At 44.2% G+C, this 22,959-nt stretch overlaps 1 protein-coding gene across 9 annotated transcripts in view, besides 2 other annotated features; it reads left to right on the top strand.

Moving 5' to 3' along the window:
• The window catches only part of TENM4 (teneurin transmembrane protein 4), a 788,202-nt gene that overhangs the window by 507,689 nt on the left and 257,554 nt on the right, over nucleotides 1–22,959 (top strand). The window lies entirely within an intron of this gene.
• Nucleotides 3,065–3,932: an enhancer, noted in NCBI's record as "OCT4-NANOG-H3K27ac-H3K4me1 hESC enhancer chr11:78640455-78641322 (GRCh37/hg19 assembly coordinates)". NCBI's record gives its function as "activates a minimal SCP1, AML or CMV promoter by ChIP-STARR-seq in naive H9 embryonic stem cells {active_cell/tissue: H9 hESC(naive)}" and the evidence as "EXISTENCE:reporter gene assay evidence [ECO:0000049][PMID:30033119]".
• Nucleotides 3,933–4,800: an enhancer, noted in NCBI's record as "OCT4-NANOG-H3K27ac-H3K4me1 hESC enhancer chr11:78639587-78640454 (GRCh37/hg19 assembly coordinates)". NCBI's record gives its function as "activates a minimal SCP1, AML or CMV promoter by ChIP-STARR-seq in naive H9 embryonic stem cells {active_cell/tissue: H9 hESC(naive)}" and the evidence as "EXISTENCE:reporter gene assay evidence [ECO:0000049][PMID:30033119]".

Raw genomic sequence — 22,959 nt, 5'->3', positions numbered from 1 at the left:
ATAATTATTGCTGCCGTTTCCTGAGCCCCAGCTGGGTGCCAGTTACCCTGTGAAGCCCTTTATATTATTTCTATTTTATTTCTCTCCTCAGCTCTTTAGAGGAGATATTATCCCCTCCTTACCAATGAGAAAACCGATTCTCACTTGTCCCAGGGAGAAGCACTGGGCAGCCTTTTACCTCAGATGCAGCCAGGAAGCCTATTCCACAGTCAAATCTAGCTTCAAATTTATAGGTTGTGCTGCCTGTGGAATGTGGTGCCTGGAGAACAGGAGCGGAGTTCGGGTCCTGCTCCCAGCCTCCAGGGTACATCAATCTCCCCTGTGGAACAGCTCTGTGACAAAGATATTGAACTCCAGCCCAACAGTTCTGTAAAGCAAGAGTCCCCAACCCTGGGCCGCGAACCTGTACCGGACCGTGGCCTGTTAGGAACCAGGCCGCACAGCAGGAGATGACAGGAGGCATTACCACCTGAGCTCCGCCTCCTGTCAGATCAGCAGTGGCATTAGATTCTCATAGGAACTCGAACCCTATTTTGAACTGCGCATGCGAGGGATCTGTGTTGCATGCTCCTTATGATAATCTAATGCCTGATGATCTGAGGTGGAACAGTTTCATCCCAAACCCCCATCCCCACCTGCCACTGGTCCATGGAAAAATTGTCTTCCACGAGACTGGCCCCTGGTTCCAAAAAGGTTGGGGACCACTGCAGTAAAGTAAGTCTCCCCATCCCAGTTTATGCAGATAAGGAAACTGCAACAGAGAATTTTTTAGCTTAGCTTGGTCACATATCAGTGTTAGTGCTTCCTTTTCAATACCAGCTCTCCCCCCATCAAGTGAGATAATCCAGAGAGTAGTCAGAGATCTTCTCGGAACACTTCCAGAACCCTTCTGGCCTCCCCCTAATCCCATCTCATGCTCACGGAGCCATCTCCCACCAGAGGGCAAATCGGAGGCCACAGCATCATCAGACTGAGTGACCTGTATCTGCTGTCCCCTGAACTGATGTGCAGAACTCCTGTCATGGGGAATTAGCCCATCATCTCATAGGGCTGGAGCTCCTACAACCTGGGGGTGGTGGTGAGGGGGTTATTGTTGTTTTTCTGACTTGTTTATTGTGTTTTGCAAAGATCTGGGACTTTGACAGACAGCTACAGGAAGTTTAGTTGAAGCCTACAGTGAGAACGTCCTCTAGCAATGCCATCTAGTTACTTCACAGTAATGACAACAATGGCTAACATTTATCAAGTGTTTACCATGTGCCAGGCAGCCTATTAAGTGCTTTCCAAGCCTGCGAAATCCTTCCATAACCCTATGAAGTAGCCATTACTACCTTTTTTTGTTGTTGTTAGAGATGAAGCTTTGCTCTGTGGCGCAGGCTGGAGTGCAGTGGTGCAATCATGGCTCACTGCAGCCTCAAATTCGTAGGCTCAAGTGAGCCTCCTGCCTCAGTCTCCCAAGTAGATGGGACTACAGGCATGTACCACCGCAGCTGGTTTATTGCCATTTTTAAATGAAGCAACTAAAGCACAGCGTTTCATTAACCGGTTGAAGGTCACTAAAGAATTGAATTCACACCTAGCCCCGGTGGAAATCCTGATCTGTCTGATTTCAGAACCACTAGTACTCTTTACCATTCCATACTGTGACTCTACCCCATAGCAGCTTAGTGAGCCTAGGACAGCCACTTAACCAGATACTCTATCACGGAAACAATAACACCTACTTCACTTGATTTTGTCAGGATTAAATAAGATGACAATTTGCCAAAAGCCAGTGGATGCTGATAAAGGTGTTTCCTTCCTTATGAGATCAGTGGCAAGTAAATATTTACTGACTTCACTTTTAGATGCTTTGATGCAAATGTTATACCTACCACTTATTTTCTACTGCACCTCTTTTGCATTCAACTACTGAAAACACCAGTGCTTTAGGCTGTGTATTTTAGAGTCAGACAAACCGCAGGGCCCAGCCAACTCCCTTCTTGCTGAGCCTCCTTTCAAGGCTGTGGATATCCTTTCTTTTTAATATGGGCCTGCTGTTAGGACTCAGACGTAGCATGTCTTTTAAAAATACTGGCTTTGAGGTAAAGAAAGAGAGATAGAGAGAAACCTTGCAAGGCACATGGGGAAATCGTGGACAGGGCGCTTCTCCACAGCCTGTTTTGTAATTTTCCTCATGAGAATTCATAGCAAGCTGGCACCTTTTTGGCTGCTCAAAAAGTGCCCTAGTCTACCTAAAAGGGAGAGTTAACAGGCCGGGGAAGAGTTGCTGGCGGCCATCAACATGATGAAGTGAAATTTCAAATTACGTTAGATGTTTGCTTAAGGAACAACAGATGAGGCCCTGTGGATTCTCAATCCTCTTGGCTACACAGCAAAATGAAAAGCATAACCATTTGGAACCCTTCCCCTGGACCGTATGAAGTCTGGGCCCAAAAGATGACCTTTTAACGATAGCTTCCTGCCTCTGAAGGGTTAGAGTGTGTCGAATTTTTCTTCGCTCAGGGCCTGGTTTTAATCATTGCCACAGTCAGAAGAAAGGGCTCTTATCCACACCGCTTACTTTTTAAAATATCTGAAATGTTCTTTGAGGTTACAATCAAAATTTTTTGGATAAGATTTCCTGTCCTTTGCCTGGTAATCTGCAGTGTGACCTTTGTCACATTCAGCAAACTTCCATTGAGAACCCGTTGTGGCCCGGGCCAGTTCACATGGGTGGGTGAATTTCATCTTCCCCAGGATCCTGACATTGAGGCTTTGTATTTTCCTCATTTATAGGTGAGCGTACCGAGGCTCAGATAGGATAAGTCATTGTCAAGATCATACACAGCTAATGGATGAGTAACACTTAGCCCTTTGGAGAAGGGAGGAAAACTGTTTCAGGTGGAGGGACCTGCCTATGTGTGCAAGACTAACTCCAAGTTCCTTTCCCTTTTTACTACACTACAGCTAACTCTCTAATCAAGGGGAAACTTGACCATATTCAGTGGACAATGAGGAGCCACAGAAGGTTTCTGAGTAGGATAATGGCATAAACAGAGCTTTCGGAACATTGATCAGTTAGCTTCTCTTCCTTTCTAAGTCATTCACATTTAATCTCAATATTACTCCATCATATCAAAATAACGTAAGGTACCCAGAGCAAGTAGGCACTTGTACTGATGTGGAAAATGAGACCCACAAAAGTTTTATAAGCTGCCCAAGGTCACAAGCTTAGCATTTAACCAGGACATTAACTATAGTCTGAGCACCATTTTCCCTTGGGGACCACAAGCCCAGCAGCAAACTGTAGTCTGCAGAAGCCCATCCTCTCTGTAAAGCACCCATGGTAAAATCTAAATTCATTTAGGACGGAGGCACAGAGCTGCCCCAACCAGTTTAAATTGTTCAGTCCTCTGTCCTCCACTCCACAATTGCAACGGGTTCTGTTCTGTCCAGAATCTTAATTTAATTAGTCTTCAAAGAAACTTTTGCTGGTAAAATAGGCTCCCAGCAGAGAAGGCTTTGTTTTCAATGTTTGGTGGCTAAAAAAGGCACATTTTGCACCAAAATGACAGAGTCTGGAGGTGGTGAACTTTTGACACAAGAGAATAAATCCTTGAAGAGAAAATCTACAGCCACCTGAAGCTTGGCTTGGCTGTATTTATGCAAGTGGACCCAGCCCCAGCAGGATATTAAAAACCATTATAACCAGGTTCCCTCTTTACCATCTCCCCCGGGGGCCCTGATCCTTAGCTTAAGTCTTACATTTCCATAATAAAGGCCACCAGCTCCCATTTCATCACATAGTCCCCAAGAACCATTTAAAGACCTAGGCAGCCCCATTGTAGGAGGATTTCCCTGGCTCCCCTTCCCTAGCCCTCTCTCCTTCTTGTCTCTCTTCTGAACCTGTGAGTTTTTCTGAGAGAGAGATTAAATCAGTTGCAAAGAGCTGTTTAATTAAACTTTCCCCCTCCCACCTCTGAAGTTGCTGGAGACTTCTTTTGACTTCTCCTTGGCAATGCGTAATCACTGTAATGTAGCCGATTCTGTAATTACCTGCCGCACATGGAAGCAGTTTGATTGCTGTTGCTTTGTCCTATTTCAACCTCAGCTGACAGCCGTGTTCACCCTCCTTGAGTGTCTGGAATATCCTAGCAGAAGGCAAGGTGATCTGAATTTATAGGCAACTTTTGATGGGTCCAGATTTATAGGCAAATGGGGCCAAAGGGTGGATAATGAGCATTCTGAGGGTGAGATGGACTTCCCTTCTCTGCATGGTGAGCTGCCCAGCTGCAGGTGCAGGGAGGTACCTGCCAGAGCACAGATGGGGTGGGTTTCCAGAGACTCCGGGCCCAGCCATGAGGTTCACAATTCACTCTGCTCTCGTTCATTCTGCCAGTGCATTTTTCATTCTGCAAGATGCAGACACAAAACTGTAGGAAGTGGCTCATGCCACCTTCACAGATCTCCCCTTTCATAAATGTAGCCATTAACTCCCTTTTACAGATGAGAAAAGTGAAATGAGACTTTCCAACTAGTAAGTGATGGCACCTAGATCAATCCAGGTCCATGTCACTTTAAAGCCTGCTCCACCCAATCAGTACTTGTTTGGTAGTCCCTTATATTTTGTTATTTGATCCTTACAACAATTTATTACATAATTATAAACTAGGTTTAATTGTGAGAAAAACGAGATTTTGAAAGTGATATAATATGTACAAAGTCACACAGCTAGCAAATGGAAGAGTTGGAATTTGAACCTATGTGGATCTGATTCTAAAGCCCAGACTTGTAACCCCCCACTTTATCCCTTTTTAATTATATAGTGAGTTCTTGTGTATTCCAAGGCTGTGGAATCTATTCCGTCAAGCACCTTGCAGATTTTTGACCTATTTCCTTGTTGTTTTGATTTAGCTTTATTATACACTTAAATATTGAGAGTTGTTACCTTAGGAACTAGTGGCAGAATGGTGTTTTTCCTTCCAGGCTTTTATATATACCTGTAGTGTTAAGACCATGGGGTGGCGGTGTATTTTTTGCTTCTTAACGTATGATATTGCCCTCTCAAAACTTTCCAGCAAGCTGGGTAGGACAGCCCTGGTCCTCCTAATCTCCTTCCAGGAAACTGCTCCAGGGCACACAAATTCTGACTGTAGTCAGAGCGGGGACCCCCAGGGGCTGCTCTGTTTAAAGAGCTGCAGAGTAAGGAGACGGGGAAGGTGGGGTCTTGCTGGGGTAGTCTAGGGATGGGTGGTGGTGTTGGTGACAGCTTCACAGAAGACAGTGACCCTACCACAGGACTATGTCTTTAGTTGGCAGGAACCAGTAGGCAGTAGGGAGATGTGGGTTTGGTGGTCTCCTTGGAAGAGGCTTAAGGGATCCCAGCAGGACAGACTTAGTGGGCTACAACATACCCTTGGGCTGTCGGGAAGTTTGAAATGGAAGCTGTGGCTATCACCAAGGATTGCTTTAGATTGAGTGTAATTAAAAGAGAGAGAGAGAGAGAGAGAACAGGATGCTTTTCTTCCTTTTAGGATGGAAGGGAGAAAGTGGAGCCTGGTTGAGTGCCAACTCTGACAGGTTCTGTGTTTTGACATGGTTCCTGACTTGAAGGACATGGTTAGCAAAACTGGCAGAAAATTTTACACACATCTTCTGGGGCTTCAAAGTGAAGAGCCCTTTGCCTTAACACAGGTGCATGAGTGTCATTCATGTGTGTCTGGGTTGAATAAGCGCTTTGAGATGGAGCCAGCCTGACGCTGAGCAAAGGGAGGTACGAAACCTCCTCTATTTTGAATAACATCTTCTATAAGAAAAGCCTCTGTTAGCCACTCTTCAAGTCCCATTCCATCCCCTAGATATTTCTTTTATATTTTTGACCTGTATAAACTTTTTCTCATTTACATCCCTTAGCAACCATGTTCTAATGTTTCTTGACACCTGCTTAATTATCTTTAGTAGAAAAATGAGAGAAGAGGTGGAGTAGAGCCAGCTACTTTCCTTACAAATTTTGTCTGCATTTTTTTCTAATATAAAAATAACACATCATTGGTCCTTTTCTTTGAAAATAAACTGAAATAAATTGCTGTGCAATCCATGTAGACAAAGCAAAAATATATCAGTTAAAAAATGGCACACAGCAGCTAGCAAACTATTTTAACATTGAATCAGTTCCTGTGTAGTAGCCACAATGCATGCAAGCAAATTATTCATCAGAAACAAGCTCCAAACATACAGCAAAATAATCCATGTGAAGGAATTCCAACATCATGCTCATACATGGACTACAAGCAAATAGTTCACTGAATATTAGTGCACAGCAAGCAAAGAAAAACATTTTAATTGTTTGTACAAAAAACATATTTTGGTCAGCATTAATGCTTTATAACAAGCAACAAAAATGTACAGTATCATAAAGATTTTAATCTTTATCTCTCAAACCTAGAAAATCACGCAAAGCCAGGTAAATAAACATTTCTAAAAGCTTCAAAAGCCCATGTCACTGATGGATTCCAGATGGTTCTCCTAATCACTGGTGTTCACCACATTAGAAAACAAGTTATCTTGATCTGTAAAATACCACCCTGCAGCTCTGTTTACTGTGTCCTTTTTCAAAGTGTCTATAATATTAACGTCAAATCTCATGTTAAAGCTATGCCTCTGTGGCAGAAAAAAAAAAAAACAAAAAACACCTTTATTTTTAATTATTTCTAAATGAAAGTGATATGTGTACAAAATTTTAAAAGTTACATTTTAGTAAAAGGTTTATAATAAAAAATATCATTTCTGGCCAGGCATAGTGGTTCATGCCTGTAATCCCATCACTTTGGGAGGCCGAGGCGGGCGGATCATGAGGTCAGGAGTTTGAAACCAGCCTGACCAATATGGTGAAACCCCGTTTCTACTAAAAATACAAAAATTAGCCAGGCGTGGTAGCATGCACTTGTAATCCCAGCTACTTAGGAAGCTGAGGCAGGAGAATCGCTTGAACCCGGGAGGCAGAGACAGTGAGCCGAGATCATGCCACTGCACTCCAGCCTGGGCGACAGAGAAAGACTCTGCCTCAAAAAAAAAAAAAAAAAAAGTCAGTTCTTTGCCCCATCCCTCCCCACTCCCAAGTCTCACTCCCCAGGAGACAGGAACTCTAATCTCTTCTACCTGTTTCTTCTGCCATTTACCTCCATGCTTCTAAATAACATGCATGTACTGCTATTTTTCATTTATTAATTTTATACATTATCTGTTGACTTTGTGCAATAGAAGAAGATTCCCACACTACCTTCTCTCTCGTTTTCCCTCCCCGATAGAACTCTATCATAATATTATAATCATTTTTGTTAAATAGGTAGTCATTGGTTATATAATTATGTAATATATGGGCTTTGGGGTTGTTTTTTTTTTTTATTTCTTTTCCTCCTGAGCCAAATAGTGCACTGTAACTATTCCTCTTTTCTTGTACATGCCTTCATTTATTTTCTTGGAGTTGTTAATTGCTTTTTTTTTTCTTTGCCTTATTGGAGAAATTTTAAGTGGTTCAGTGTAGCTGGGACAGGATCCTTAATATAAGGGATACAGTGACTGACAAGGCTGTAAAAGGGACTAGATCTTAATGGACCTTGAATGCCAGGCTAAGAAACTTGGACTTGAGGGTAGCACGGAGCCATGGAAGGGCAGGGAGGTGACCTTCTGGAACATTCCTCCCATGGCTATGTGAGAGGTCCATATGGAAACAGTTTTTAAACTGACATGGAGGAGTGTGTGAAAGCATCTGCATTTTCACAATCTTTCCAGCACAACTGGTGTCATCTTTAGGAAACTCCCACACTTGGGTGGGAGTTTGTCAAGTCACTAACAGACTCCAGCTCTCCTGCATTTTCCTTCCCTGAAAATATGGAAAATAAGGAAGGGCAAAAATCATCTCACAAGTATACCCAACTGGAATTTCCTGATTCGCTTGGAATTATCCAGTCTCAAAGAGGTCCAGGTTATGGGCAACAGGAAAACTACTACTACTAACACACACACACACATACATACACACTTTTTTTTTTTTAAGTAAAAATAGCTAAAATGCTGATGGATAGAATTTGTGCATTTCCCATCACCAGTGAATTAGAATTTATTCTACACTCAGACATCCAACTCTGAAGCTGAAATCACACAAATCTCAGTTGACGCTCTTTGCTCTGTTTTGTTTTGTTGGGAGAGAAGGGGAAAAAGCTGGAAATGTCAAGAGATCAGAGTTAGAATACAGGATAAGAATTAAGATTTAGAAGGTTACTCAAATAAGAACAGAAAGAAACTAGGGTTTGTATCAGCGGTGACGTGTATGAAATTACTTTTAATTTTGCAAAATCACAGCTTTGCCCTCTCAGCCTGTGTAAGTGAACCTAGCAGTTAGCATTCATAAAGAGGAAAGCCCCAATGTTATGGGTGACCAGGGAATGTCCAGATTTCCGAGAGGGCAACTGACCAACTTACTGCTTCTGTAACATACAAAGTGATTGAATTTGCTTGTCAAATTCTTTAAATTCTATTAGTATAGTGATACATTGCTATTTATGCCAAGAGACACCTTTTTAAAAAATGATTTCTGCTGTTTTTTTCTTACAGTTGGGAAATTCAGCTCCTAACCAACTCATCACCAGAAACACAGTGGCAGACAGCTGTTAGGGCCGAACATTATCATCATCATAATACCTATCACGGAGTGAACCCCTGCTATGTGCCAGGCACTGTCCAGGCATCTTCACTAAGATTACAGCCTTTGACACTCACTACAGTCTAATACAGTGTAATTTCTTGCCTTCATTTTCTAGTGGAGGAGAGAAAATGGGATTTCCCCAAAGATGTACTGCTGTAAGTGGTAGAATCAAGATTTATTATAAAATGAGGTTGATCTGATTCTGCGTCAGTGGAGATACTTTTGGCTGTAATTAGCAGAAAACTTAACACCAAGTACTGGGACATATATTGTGACACATAAAAGGAAGCCCAGAGGTAGGGTGGGCCTCAGGGCTGGCTGCTCCAGAGACCAGCAGTATCATCAAGGACCCAGATTCTCATCCTGGTTTTGCTCTGCCATACTCAGGCCAGTTTCCCCTTGTTGTAGGGTGGCTGCTAGCAGCACTGTGGACCATGTGCTTGTTCACTGAATGGTCAAGACAGACTGGCTTCCATTGCTCAGTATTAAAAACAAAGAACAGGCTGGGTATGGTGGCTCACGCCTGTAATCCCAGCACTTTGGGAGGCCAAGGCAGGTGGATCACCTGAGGTCAGGAGTTTGAGACAAGCCTGGCCAATATGGTTAAACCCCATCTCTACTAAAAATACAAAAATAAGCCAGGCGTGGTGGCAGGCACCTGTAATCCCAGCTACTTGGGAGGCTGAGGCAGGAGAATCGCTTGATCCTGGGAGGCAGAGGTTGCAGTAAGCCGAGATCACACCATTGCACTCCAGCCTGGGCAACAGAGTAAGACTCTTGTCTCAAAAGGAAAAGAAAAGAAAAAAAAAAAAGAATAGCGAGGTATGGTGGCTCATGCTTGTAATCCTAGCACTTTCGGAGGCTGAGGTGGGCAGATCACTTGAGGTCAGGAGTTTGAGACCAGCCTGGCCAACATGGTGAAACCCCATCTCTACTTTAAAAAAAAAAAAAAAAAAAAAAAAGCCAGGTGCATGCCTGTCATCCCAGCTACTTAGGAGGCTGAGACAGGAGAATTGCTTGAACACAGGAAGCAGAAGTTGCAGTGAGCCAAAATTGCACCACTACACTCCAGCCTGGGGGACAGAGTGAAACCCTGTCTCAAAAAATAAAAATAAAAATAAAAACAAATAACAATTTTTTCCAGAAACTTCTGGAAATCTTCCCATGGAGTTTCAGTGGCTTGAACTGGGTCACCTGCTCATTCCTGAAACACTCATTGGCTCAGGGGATGAGGTCACCCTTAGGTCACTCAGGCACCTTGAGTGTAGATCAGTTCCCCAAACCACACTGTTGTTACTCAAGGGAAAAGGCAGAATGGAAGCTGGAGAGCAAAAGTCTTTCATCGTATCCAGGACAGGCTACGTCTTTTATGGGGCCCCAGGCAGAATGAAAATACAGGGCCCTTGGTTCAAAATTTTTTCAGAATTTCAAGATAGTGACAGCCCATCAAACCAAACACGGGCCCTCTGAGTGCAGGGCTCTGGGTGACTAAAGAGTTCACACACCCGTGAATCTGGCCCTCACCACAGACTGCCTGCTGCATACAATGTTTAAGTGTTCACTGCTCTGCCTCCCACTTGATAGCAAGAACCAACCACTCTTGTTTGTCATTGTGCCCTCTGTGCTTGATTCAATACCTGGCATATGAGAGGTACTCCAGGAAAAAAACATTTGAGAAAGGAGTGCTTGGTGGAGCTGATATCGCTGGTCTGAGGAAATAGTGGTAAGTGGTAGTGATGGAGATGCTGAGGATGTCTTGAGCACTGGCTGGAGGCTAGCATCATACATCTCACCTCCTTCCTTGGCGGATTCTCATCCCAGGCCTGAGAGTCTTCTACCTCCGGGTGCACCTAACCTCCCGAATGCCTCTCCTTGTATTTTGTACTTGAGGAACATTTTTGTTTAACTCACTTTCCTGATATGTCACAGGTCTTAGGCCTTTGGGGCTGATGCCTGCTGAACTATAATCACATGTTTGACGTGTTTGACCGGGATTCTCTTGCTGTTGCCTTCATTCACTGCTAGTCTTTGGATCACCATGCAAAGGGTTTTCTTTTTGAAGTTAAAATCTGCCTTTGGATAGGATATTCAGAAATGATATTTGTGTCTGTGTCAGTCCAATCTGTTTTTTTCGCATGTAGGAATGTAGTCCTCATTTTATCATAAGAGTTAAGTCAGATTTTATTGCAAACAGAGCACTGTGTGGACTCTAGGGAGAAACAGAGATTTAAAGAAGTATTTAGACATGTTGTCCTAATTGGAGACACTAGGCAAAAACACATGAGGAGTTAACAAGAGAATTGTCATCATAAAGACATCATGAGGGCAAGGCTTAATTAAATTAATTGGCTTTTGAAAGGTATAGGCTGCCCTCCTATTATTTTCTGCCTGCCTGCCTTTCCTCATGCTGTCTCTGCATATTTTATACCTTGTCCCTATCATTTAATTCTGTCCATCCTTCAAGGCCTCCAGAGATCACCTCAGAGACCTTGAATAGAAATGTTCTGCAGAGCGCCTGCTGCACATGGACATCTGATAGGCATTTATTGCCTTCTCCTGGGCACTGTCTCCCAATTTTGCAAGAAAACATCAGTCACTCCAGCCTCATCACATTCAATATACAGCCTGGGTGCCAGCAGTTCCCACACTGCATCTGGTTAGGGCTGTTGTCTGTAAGCCTGTCTCCTTCAGGAGGCTCAGTGCCTTGATGGTAGAGATGACATTCGTGCTATTCCCTCTCTCCATGCCTATCACATGATCTTGGACATAGTAGGTACCAGTGAAAGTTGGTTGACTTGCCTCTGTACTCTGAAGGCAGAGAAGGGAGAGAGTCTGTGGGTTTGAGGGCCCCAAGGGAATTCTCATGATCCTCAGTCTGAGATCACAAGTGAGATAGGCAGTGTGTGATTTCAGTCTAGTGATGAGCCCAAAACATTGCCTTGAGCTGTCAATAAGACCCCAGGCTGCCCAGGACTGACACCTCCCTCCTTGCCTTGGTCCTGCACCTTCCATCTCTAGGCCTTCCCTGTCAGTCTACTGGGAAAGCAGGATTCCCCAGGGAGCCTGGTTGCTTTGGCTACAGCCCCGCTATGCTGTACAGTCAGGCTCATACACGGCAAATACGAACAGTCAGGAAGGAAGTGTCTGTGTACCTCAAGTGTATGTAAAGGGGACAGTCAGACTGTATCTTCATGGAGGCTTTCGACATCTAGAAATATTCCTAAATGCCACATTTGAGTTCTAGAGAGAGAGAAAAACAGAGTTGTATTTCTCAAGTTCCCTTGGGCACAGTGCATTTGTCTTTGGACATGGTTGCTGTGCCGTGGCACTCCCTCTCCAGACCTCAGCTTGGGATATCCAGACACATGACAGACCCAGGCATCTCCCCCATTACTTTCTAGACCTAAGTAATATCACGCCATAGGTGGGACCCAACACACCGTATAAATGCCAGCCTTCACAGGACTGGCTCTTCCCAGCTTTTCTGGATCCCTGTAACATACAGTGTCAATGGTAGACAATGGAGAGAGGTAGAAAGACCCTGTGCTTGGAGAGTCAAGCTAGTCCTTGGTTTGAATCCACCACTTATTGGACAGACTCATGCTAACCCTTCACTTCCCTGAGACCCAGTTTCCTCATTCGTGAAATGAAGTTGATAGCGTTAAACTTCACAGTGCTGTAACACAGATCAGAAAGCCCAGATTTAAAGTACCTAGCACAGAGCCCGGCACACAGGAGGCTCAGCATGTACTTACGAGGAAAGACTGGCCGCCACAAAAATGCACTCTTTGGTTGACCTGACACAAGGAAGGGTCATGAAAACAGCCACAGACTCAAATACATTTTTCCCCATTTGGAATTATTCTGCCTGATTTGCATGGGCAGTTAAGAGAATGGACACATTAAAAGGCTTTTATATATATATACACACATATATATAATCTTGTTTGATGTTTTCCTCTCTGGGATGATGCCTAACATCTATCAGATGGCTGCTTTTGCCTAATTTCAGTCATTAGATTAAGGAAGGATGAGGTAGTTCATCCTCGGGGAGAAAAAAAAAATCAATGTGAGTAAGTGTGATTAGTAACAGCGTCCAGGAGTAATGCAGCGAGAGGACGAGACCGTGAACAAAGCTGCAGGCTGTGTTACTGTTACCCAGAGGATGCCTATTCCTGCCTCCGGGCTCAGCGGTGCAGCTGCTCCCATTTCCACACAGGTCATGGTCTGTCCACCTGGAAATGGACGTTAATATTACTTAATATCCACAGATCATTACAGGACATTTTTCTTACGAAGTAGAAATAGTCAGAACTTTATAGTAGTAGAGCATTATATTTTAAAACATCTCTGGTTTTAAAAACTACTCTTGTTTGTCATTGTGCCCTCTGTGCCTGATTCAATGCCTGGCATATGAGAGGTGCTCCAGGAAAAAAATATTTGAGAAAGGAGTGCTTGGCTGAGTTGATATCGATGGTCTGAGGAAATAGTGAACATCTGCTGAGATGTTGATGAGGTTTGAGAGAGTGATTCCTGCTCATCTGTTCACTAACATTCGCACCTACTATGTGACAAGCACTGGACTCAGTGCAAGTGACATGGTGATAAATAAGAGGCATCTCGAGGGGCTCACAGATTAGTGGGGGACATATGCATGCATACGAGTTAGTGTGCTAGCTGGACAAGCACAGCTACCTTGTGGTTTTGGGTTCCTGGGACATGAAGGAGGGTGTGGTCAGGTCTGCCTGAAGAGTGACGCGGTGTTTCAGCCTCTGAGTTGAGTTCTAACCTCACGGATTGAGGAGGGTCTAGGAAAGGCACTCTAGGCTGATAGCACAGCGGGTTAGGCATGACTCCCAGCTGTAAGGATGGAAACCCAACTCCAACTCACGTTTTTAAGCAAGGAAAATGTCACGGTGGTGTTACTGAAAGTCCAGGGGCTCCTTTTCCCATCAGCGCAGCTAGATCTAGGCATTCAGACGTCTTAATGAATCCCTCCTGACCCTGTTTCCCTTTGTTTTGGCCTTATTCTCAGGCAGGCATTCCTCATATGATGACAAAGGGACCCCTGCAAGCTTATCTACTACCAGCCTTGTAACCAAACGGAAAAAAACAGTGCCACTTTTTCTATAGCTCCAGAAAAATCTTGTGATTGCCTCTGATTGGCCTGACCAAAGTCACATATTTGCCTGAATCAGTCACCCTAGCCAGGGTGCTGAGCATGGAGTTTGATGGGTGATGTGGAGGGAGGGGGCAGGACAGAGAAGAAGAATCAACAAGCCTGCATTTGGATCCTGGCTCTACCTCTGTGATCATGGCACCTCTAATAGCTCCCCCTCTTACTAATTGTGTTATTTTGGACCAGTCTACCCACTTCTCAAAGCCTTGGTTATTTCAAACTGGAAATTGGATAATAATACATGTTTTATGGGGTTGTTTTTAGAATAAAATAAGTTCATGCATGTAAAGAACTTAACACAGTCTCTGGCACATAGTATTCACTCAGTAACCATAGACATTAGGACTGTAGACATAGTGAATACACATTTAGATTAGATTTACAATAAGTAGGTCTTGTGCTGGGACCATTAGGAATACAAAAATTCATATAGGAAACTCACTTTCTCTCATTTAAGCTTCAATCTCTGAGTAGGTACAATTATCTCCATTTTATAGATGACACTCAGAGAGGCTAAGTAACTTGTCTAGACCACACAGCTGAGTGAGTGGCAGAGCTGGGATTCAAACCCATGTCAACCGGACTCTGAAGCACTTGTCCTCTCTAGAACATGAAGGCAGCTTGGTCTTTCTACTTTATTTCTTCCAAAAAACAAAGGAAGCAGCCAGGTAAAAGTTTATTTCTCGCACTTCCTTATTTAAAAAGAAAATACAGAATGACATTCAGGCATGGGTGGAATTCCTGGGGATGTGCCTCCGAATCCCAATTTGCTTCAGATTCATCAGGATGCCAGGCCTGGAGATCTACACCCCTTCAGTGGTGTCAGCGCACCTCTGCATTGCATCTTACATTGTCAAGAGACATTTTCTTCAGGATGCCCTGGGCTGTATAAATTAGGCAGAACAGTGACCGCTGTGGTTATGAATATAACTGTTTGATTAAGGTTCCATGCCGGCTGCATTATTTGTTTCACAAACCTGAACTGGGCTGATTGGATTTCTCTCTCTGTCCCTTTTTTTTTTTTTTAACATAAGTAGATTCTAAAATTGGAAAAATAAAATATTCCACAGCTGAGAGAAAAGAATTAACTTGGGGAATAAGCCCAGGTGGCACCCACAGAATGTACACCTTTTGTATTGAAATAAAGTTAGCGTCGTTTGTGCCTTGACTCTGGGGTTTGTGAGGGGACTGCTCTATAAACAGCACATGATGCTGTGGTAAGAGAAGGAGTAGGAGGGCATTGACGAGGACCACAGCACTTAAGAGGACATTCTTAAATACTAATAATAGTACTATTTTCAGAACACCTACTGCATGCCAGGTGAAACGTACAGGTCAGTGAGGGGTGGAAATTATACTGTCGCCGTTAAGAGCACGGGAGTCGAAGCCAGACAGACTTGGATTTCTTGGCACTTAGTTGCCATGGAGCATGAACACATTCTCTCCCCGAGCCTCAGTTTTCTCTTCTGGAAGATAGAGATAACAATAGCTAACATTAGGTGAGTACTTGCTGTGTGTCATGCGTGTTCTTAGCACTTTACATGAATCCTCATGGCAACCCTATGACTAATGTCTCTATATCTCAAGCCAGGAAAATGGGCACAAGAAAAGCTAAGTAACTTGGGCAGGGCCACAGCTAGGAAATAGTAGAGCCAGGATTCAAACCCAGGCCACCCTCCTACCATACTGTATTACGTTCCTCTTAAACCTATGTCCGAGGACTCTTGGGAAGATGAAATGGAAAGACAGTGGCCTAAAGATGCTTTGCAGACTAACTAGCAGCCCAGCAAGCCTTCAATATTTTGAGGCCATCATTGGTATTATTATTACATTTCTGTTGCCTAGGGATTGAGCTGGGCACTTTGGAGAGGACTTCAGGAAGACAAAATTTCTTTTATCTGTTTGTAGTATGACTTGGCTTATGGACATTGATGGATGGAATACCTGCCCAAGATCTCCTGAGCCGATATAAAAAAAATAAAAATAAAAAAACCCACATGTGGTCAGTCGTAAATGATGAAAAGCATCTCTCTGATTTGTACACTTAGTTAGATGCTTTCCACCTTTTCCCCCAAGTGAGGCCTTTTAGGGCCTGAGGAAGAAGGTAAGGGTCACATGAGTAGGAGGCCACCATGCTGCCTTGTGACTTGCTGGATTTGGATGGCCGCTCTTCGGTGAAGGTAGAGGCGTTTGCATGCAACTTCTCTAAAGGCTGGGAAGGACTCTGCATTTGGAGTCTCTGTTTATGGGCTCTGCCACCTGGGCAAGCTGTGTAGCCTTGCAAAGTCTCCATTTTCTTACCTGTGAAAGGAGGATAATAACACCCATATCTTAGGATTGTCCTTCTGGTGTGTTATCAAACAGCAACACTTTTTGTGGTCCCCAAAACATCATTCATATAACTATTGATATGGTTGCTGTTCAAGCATAACAAAAATACATGAGGGGTTTTTGCATTTAATAAATTGCTCAGTGCATGTAGCCGAGGTACTTCAGAATTAATTTTTTCTTCTTCTGCCTCTAGGAGGCATCAAAAGTAGAAAGAGCAATCAGAAGCTTGTATTGGGATCTTAGCTTTTATCATTTCCCAGCAGTGTGACCATGGGCAGATTTCTTGTTTTGTATGTTGTTTGCTTTTTAAATCAAGATGTCACATTTAACAGAGTTGACCCCAATGCTAGGGCCTGAAATATCCCATCATTGAAAAAAATTGAAAAATTTCATAAACAAAGATGTGAGTAGATTTCTGAGGCTCAGTTTTCTCATCTGCAAAATGGAGAAATTAAGTCCTACTCTATACTGTTCCTCTGAAGATGAACTAAGGAAACCTTTGTAAAAGCCCTGATCATTGTCATGTGTCAATAAATATTCAGTCTCTAGTTCTACATGGTGGAATTTTTAAAATAAAGGAAATAAATTTAAAAATAAATATTTATTTTTTTCCTCCCTGACAACCTCCCAGTGTCCAGACCTAAAGACTGTACATGGACAAAGGCTTAATTTAGTTTCATTCAACAAACATTTTATAGCCACCAAGCACTAAGTGGAAAAGCAAATAAGATTTCTGCCCTTGGAGACCCTATAGCATAAGGAAAAATTAATTAGATGTAATTCCAAGGAGCTATGAGAGTGAATTAATAGCCTAAATTGATCCTTTCTATTGGCTGGTCACTATGCTAAGGACTCCATATCCACTGTCTCACTAAATTCCTACAACAACGCTAAGAAGTAGATTATGCTATTATCCCCATTTTACAGATGAAGAAATCAAGGCTTTCAGAGGTTAAAAACGCACTCAAAGCCACAAAGCTAGTAAGTGGTAAACCCTGGTTTCAAACTTTGTTCCATTTGATTCAGCACTCAACCTCCTGGCCACTGTGCTGTTTGAATGAGGTTTGTGGCATGAAACTGGGGTCCAGAAAAGGTCTGTAATATGACCAGTGTGTATGCAGGGCAGGTGAGATTTGATCCCGAGGCAGCTTGAGCCTGAGCCACAGTGCTTACCCACCATGCAATACTGCTCTGTGCGTTCTAGCGACCTTTTAGCCAACCTGTCCCTTTCATTTGAGGAATCTCAGTGTCTTTTCCAAGAGAAAGTCGTTTCTTCAAAATTACTGATGGCTACAAAGTGGAGGGAAAGGTATGAACATGATGGATGAGAATTCACCTCTTCCATGTGCTGGTATTTAGCCTCCTGCAGGGCCCATGGAATTGGGGTTAGAATTTGGAAAATGACCTGATAACCTGCCTTGACCTTTGATGCTGGCCATCAGTTTCAACAAAGTAGGCTATTCCCTGCAGGAGCCTTGAGATTCATTGTCTTGATTTTCTTTTCATGGCATCTCCAACTGTGGATAAAAATAAAAAGTTTATGCCCATCTCAATTATCAGCTGTCTTAAATGTGCAGTTTGGAGAAATGTCAGGTCAAGTTTAAAGAGAAGGATGAGGATGCACAGAGTGCCCAAATCACCCCAGGCCCCTCGAGAATCAGTGACAGTTCCTAGGTAAGAGAGTCCACAGATGGGAACCTACCTGGTACCCCAGAGAGGGTAATCATCCACTTCTAGCCTCACACAGGCTATGATATATTAAGATACAACCTCTGCCCTTGGAGCGTACAGTCTGGTGGAAGAGACAGACCCGTAAACAAATGGTGATAACTCAGAGTGAGCCATGGAGGCTAGAGAGCCCAAACTAGGAGTGAGAGTGGTCAGAGAAGGCTTCCTGGAGGAGGAAACTTCTAATCTGAGTTAACCAGGCAAAGGTGTGAAAAGCCTCCCACGCAGAAAACAATATGTGCATAGCCATGGCCATGAGACAAGCAGTGAGCAGTTTCATGAGTGGTGTCTAATTAACCTGTTAACCTTGGCACCTTTTTAAAGAGGGAGGTGGCGAGCTATGGGGTGCTACCCTGGAGCAGTGGACTCATGCCGGATGGTGGGGGGTCTCGTACTGTAGGCAGTGGGGAGCCACAAAAATGCTTTCAATCAGGGAAGCAACATAACCCAGTTTCCTTTTAGGGAGTTCACTCCATCTGATGGATAGCCACTGAATTGAAGCGGGTGAGCCGGCAGGCTGGGGCACCAATGTTCACTATGCCCCTGGCCTGACTCTCCACCAGTGAGGACCTGAGCTAACGTAGTGGCAGTAGGGGTGGTGAGGAGCTAGCAGATATGTGGAAGATGACAGCTAGAGGAATTGGTTACATTGTTAAGTTGTTGAACCTGAAAAAGAAGGAAGACACAGTGGCAGTTCCCAGAGGTCTGGTTGATTGATTGGGTGGGAGGTTCTGACAGCAGCTGGTGATGTTGAGATCAGGAGCATTAGGAGAGGGAGTATAGAATTGGGGCTGCAGGGACAGGGAGGCATTAAGTTTAACTGTGTATACATTTAGTTAGAGCAGTAGAGGCTTGACATTCAGGCAGGAGGTTGAGGCTCATTATATTAGCCCTGCTTCACTGACAAGGAGCTCACTACCTTAAGAGGCAGCCCATTCAATACTGGAGAGCTTGGCAGGAGGAAGGGTTTTCTTAAGCTTAACTGCTGTCTGCTCCAGGTAACTTCCTGGTCTTGGTTGTCATTCATCTTCCTAAAGCCCCATGGAGTAGATTTACTCCTTCTCCCACCCCTTTGGCAGTTTGAAGGCAGCAGTAGTATTCTCGCTATTTCCTTCTTTCCAAGAAATTCCCTGAGAGGAACAAGGGAAGCCAAGAGGAACTAGACCATCAATGGCTGGAAGGGACTCAGGAGATTAAAAATGAAGGAACTTCCTTTTTCAGATAGACAAATTGAGGCCCAGAGAAAGAAAGGGACTTCCCCAAAGTCACAGAGTGAGTTAAAGGCAAGGCTGGGAATAGTTCTTCCATCTAGGACCGTTGAATACACCGTGTGATTGGGTGTTTTATTTCCTAGCACATGAATTCTGTGGGCATAAGCTATGAGACTTGGACATTATAAGGCGTTTAGCGTTTTTCAGCTGGACTCCTAAACACATACTCCTTCTTTAAGCTCTTCTCCTTCCCCTTCTCCTCTCCAGGCTAACAGCATCAGTCCTCCCCCTACTCCCTCAGGGACACAGTTTCTAAACCCTTCACCATCCAAGGAAGCCAGGGAAAGCATTAACTAGCTCCAGAGACCTTGAGAAGGATCAGCCTCTACTGTACTGAGTTGACCCCGCCATCCAGTATCCCTCCTCTGGGCCCGCTCCAGCAAATCAGCACAGCATGGCCGTCCCTGTTTCTTCGTGCTTTTCCTCTGTGAATGCAGCCTACCTACATTTCCATGAGCTGCTTATCCGCTCCATCACACTGCCGACTCCTGTTGAGCTGAATTCCACCCCCGACACTCACACACACACACACACACACACACACACACACACACACACACACATACCTCTTACCCATCAACTATGGTTCCTTGTTGATTTGGGACTTGACCTAACTGTTTATGGATCAGATCATTTTTGAAAAGGGTAAGAAGGTGGCAATGGAAGGAAGGAAAACTCACTTGACAGCCAGAAAGCTTTCCCAGGACAAATTCTGCCTTGAGGTAGACACAGCTTTAAGTTGGGGGAAAGCATGTATCCAGAAAAGATCCCACCCCTCCGGCTGCAGCTGGCCTTTCCCAACAAAATCTGCCTGTTCAGATTTTACAGGCAGAAACTTTGTCTAATCCATCTCTATGTCTCCAGTATCGAGGACAAGGCATATAAAAAGTGATGTTTGTAAAAGAAATGAAAGCAGAGAAGCAGGAAGGGAAGGAAGGAGGAAGGGAAGAACCATCACATGTTTCCCTTTCTTTCATTCCATCCTTTTGCCTTGTTTGGTGCCCAGTCACACAACACAATATAATACACGACTTGCTGTGCACATATTTTGTAAGCAGATGTTCATTAACAAGTACAGGTTCAGAATGATATAGTCTTAGATTTTAAAATTGGAATGGACTCCCACCACCTCCTTTTCTGTTTGTCAATTGGGGAAACGGGCTCAGATAGGTTAAGTGTTTTGCCCAAGGTCACACAGCAAATTAGCCGCTGATTGGGATAAGCGCAAGAATGAAATTTGGTGGAGTATATGTTGTGAGAGAGTTCTACTTTTGGATTCAAATGGTGGCCCAGTCAAATTATGCAAGCCCCATGCTTAAAAGAGACAGGTTTTGATGCTCTTGGCTTAATTTGTCTATGAATTACCATGACCCTAGGAATAGAGAGCATTGTTGATTACACCTCTCTCTGGCAGTTGCCAAAACTCTGTTCTTCCCTCAATTGTCTAGTTAAAGGGCAGTAGGGCACTCTCCCCCAGTCCTATCCTAGAGAACATTCACTGATGGTTGAGGAACCTCATGTGCATTTTAATGAAGCCTGGGAGTTCTGGTTCACTCTTATGACTACTCTTAGCTTTAAAAGTTTGGAAGTCGGCTAGGCGCGGTGGCTCACGCCTGTAATCCCAGCACTTTGGGAGGCCGAGGCGGGCCAAATCACAAGGTCAGGAGTTCGAGACCAGCCTGGCCAACATGGTGAAACCCAGTCTCTACTAAAAAAATTTAAAAATTAGCCAGGCATGGTGGCGTGCGGCTGTAATCCCAACTACTCGGGAGGCTGAGGCAGGAGAATTGCTTGAACCCATGAGACGGAGGTTGCAGTGGGCTGAGATCGCACCACTGCACTCCAGCCTGGGCAACAGAGCAAGACTCTGTCTCACTGGAAGTCGGGGTGAGCCCTCTTTCTGAACACCCTTGAAACTCCCTCTGGCTCCAGGCTCTTAAAGGTGGGTTCCAACCTCATCTCTCTTTGTGGTCCATTGCCAGATCTCTATTCCATGTGCCCAGGTCTCTCACCATACTGCTGCCACAAGGGGTCTGTATCTTTCAGCCTGTGGGCCTTTGCTCACTCATGCCAGGCCCCTACCTAGAATGCCCTCTTGCTCCCCTTTTGTCTGCCTCTGTCCTGCCTCTACTTCAGTGCTCTGTTCAAGTTCTTGCTCTTCCTAGAAGCTTTCCTAGACCACTCTATGTGTAAATTGTTGTATCCTGGAGGGATGTGGCTACTGCCTGAGACTCAGAGCGGAAGCTGAGCTGCCACGGGCTGGGGGAAAAGAAGTGTCTTGTTCATTATCTGTGCTCTAGCAGACTGGGTAATTTCTAAAGAAAAGAAATTTCCTTCTTACATTTGGAAGCTAGGAAATCCAAAGTCCAGGGGGCCACATCTGGTGAGGGCCTTCTTAGCATGTCATAACTTTGCAGAAGACATCACATGGTGAGAGGGCAAGAGTGCGTCAGACCAGGTCTCTCTTCTTCTTATAAAGCCACCAGACCCACTACTGGGGCCCCACCCTGATGGTTTTGTCTCACCATAATCACTTTCCAAAGGCCCCACCTCCAAATGCCATCAATATATGAATTGGATATTATGTTTCCAACACATGACATTTGGGGTACACATCCAAACAATAGCAAGAAGGTTACTCCAGCCTCTCTCTCTTCCTACCTTTCAGTGTCCTGCTGTGCTCACCATTAGCCAAACCTATCCAGAAGCCAGTGGGCAAGGGAGCCCAGGTGATGCAGTCCTTAGGAGTCAGCCTCCTGGGACACAGAAAGGCAGAGAATGGTCTGGAACTAAGGATGGGGCTGGAGGAGGCAAACAGAGAATAAAGTCTTACAGTAGCTGTTTACCCATCCTACTGTAACTGGAGTACATATCCCCTGGGATCACTGGTCCCAGTCATTGCATGCAGCTAGCCTCCCTGGCCACCTCCTGCCAAAGGCCAGCTGTGCTTCCCAGCCATTGTGACAACCAGAAAACACCCTTCCTCATTTCCATACACCCCTGTTTAAAAACCACTGCATCATACAATGAGGCTTTTTCATACATTGTCCCTTCATCACTGTTTGTAAAATGCAAAGCAATTTAATAATCTGAGTGTTCACCGAAAGTTCTGTCCTGACTAAATGAATGAGGAAGCAGAAATAGCCATATTATGACCTCAAGGTGCTATTTTTTATTCCCCATCAGAATACTGGAAGGGGAGCCAGGGAAGCCCCACAGTCTGCTGTCCTCTGTGGGCCCTTCCTTGTGTGTGAGTCCATCTGGGATTTCAGGCCAAATACTGTTTAGAAGCCTTGAGCACTGGCCGTGACATAGGACTAAAGTGAGAATGAACCGAAACCATTTTGTCCGGAGAAGGAGTGAATAGGCAGAGAAAACACTACAAAAAGTGTGACCCCTAGCCTCATGTTCAGACTGGTGGTTACATTGTGGACTTCATTGTTTTGATCCATTCTAGGTTCAGGTAACAATAATACTGATTGTTTTCTCTAACTCTTGCACAAGACTTTACAGTTTGCAAGGTGCTTTCATACACATTTGACAAGTGAAGAAACTGAAACTCAGGTTAAATAAAGTGCTTGAGATTCTACAGCTTGAAGGAGGCAGAACTGAGACTGGAAGTCAGGCTATCAGATTCCGACTGCTGACTGTGTTGATAAAGAGCTTTCCGGCCTTCATAAATTGGTCGTGTAGGCCAAGATTCATTAGCTAAGCTCTCAGCACTGCTACATCACCATCCCATGTCAGTGGTAGTCGATGGCATT

Source organism: Homo sapiens, chromosome 11, assembly GCF_000001405.40.
Source record: "Homo sapiens chromosome 11, GRCh38.p14 Primary Assembly".
NCBI classification, from domain to species: Eukaryota; Metazoa; Chordata; class Mammalia; order Primates; family Hominidae; genus Homo; species Homo sapiens.
This window is presented reverse-complemented; position numbering and strand designations above follow the sequence as displayed.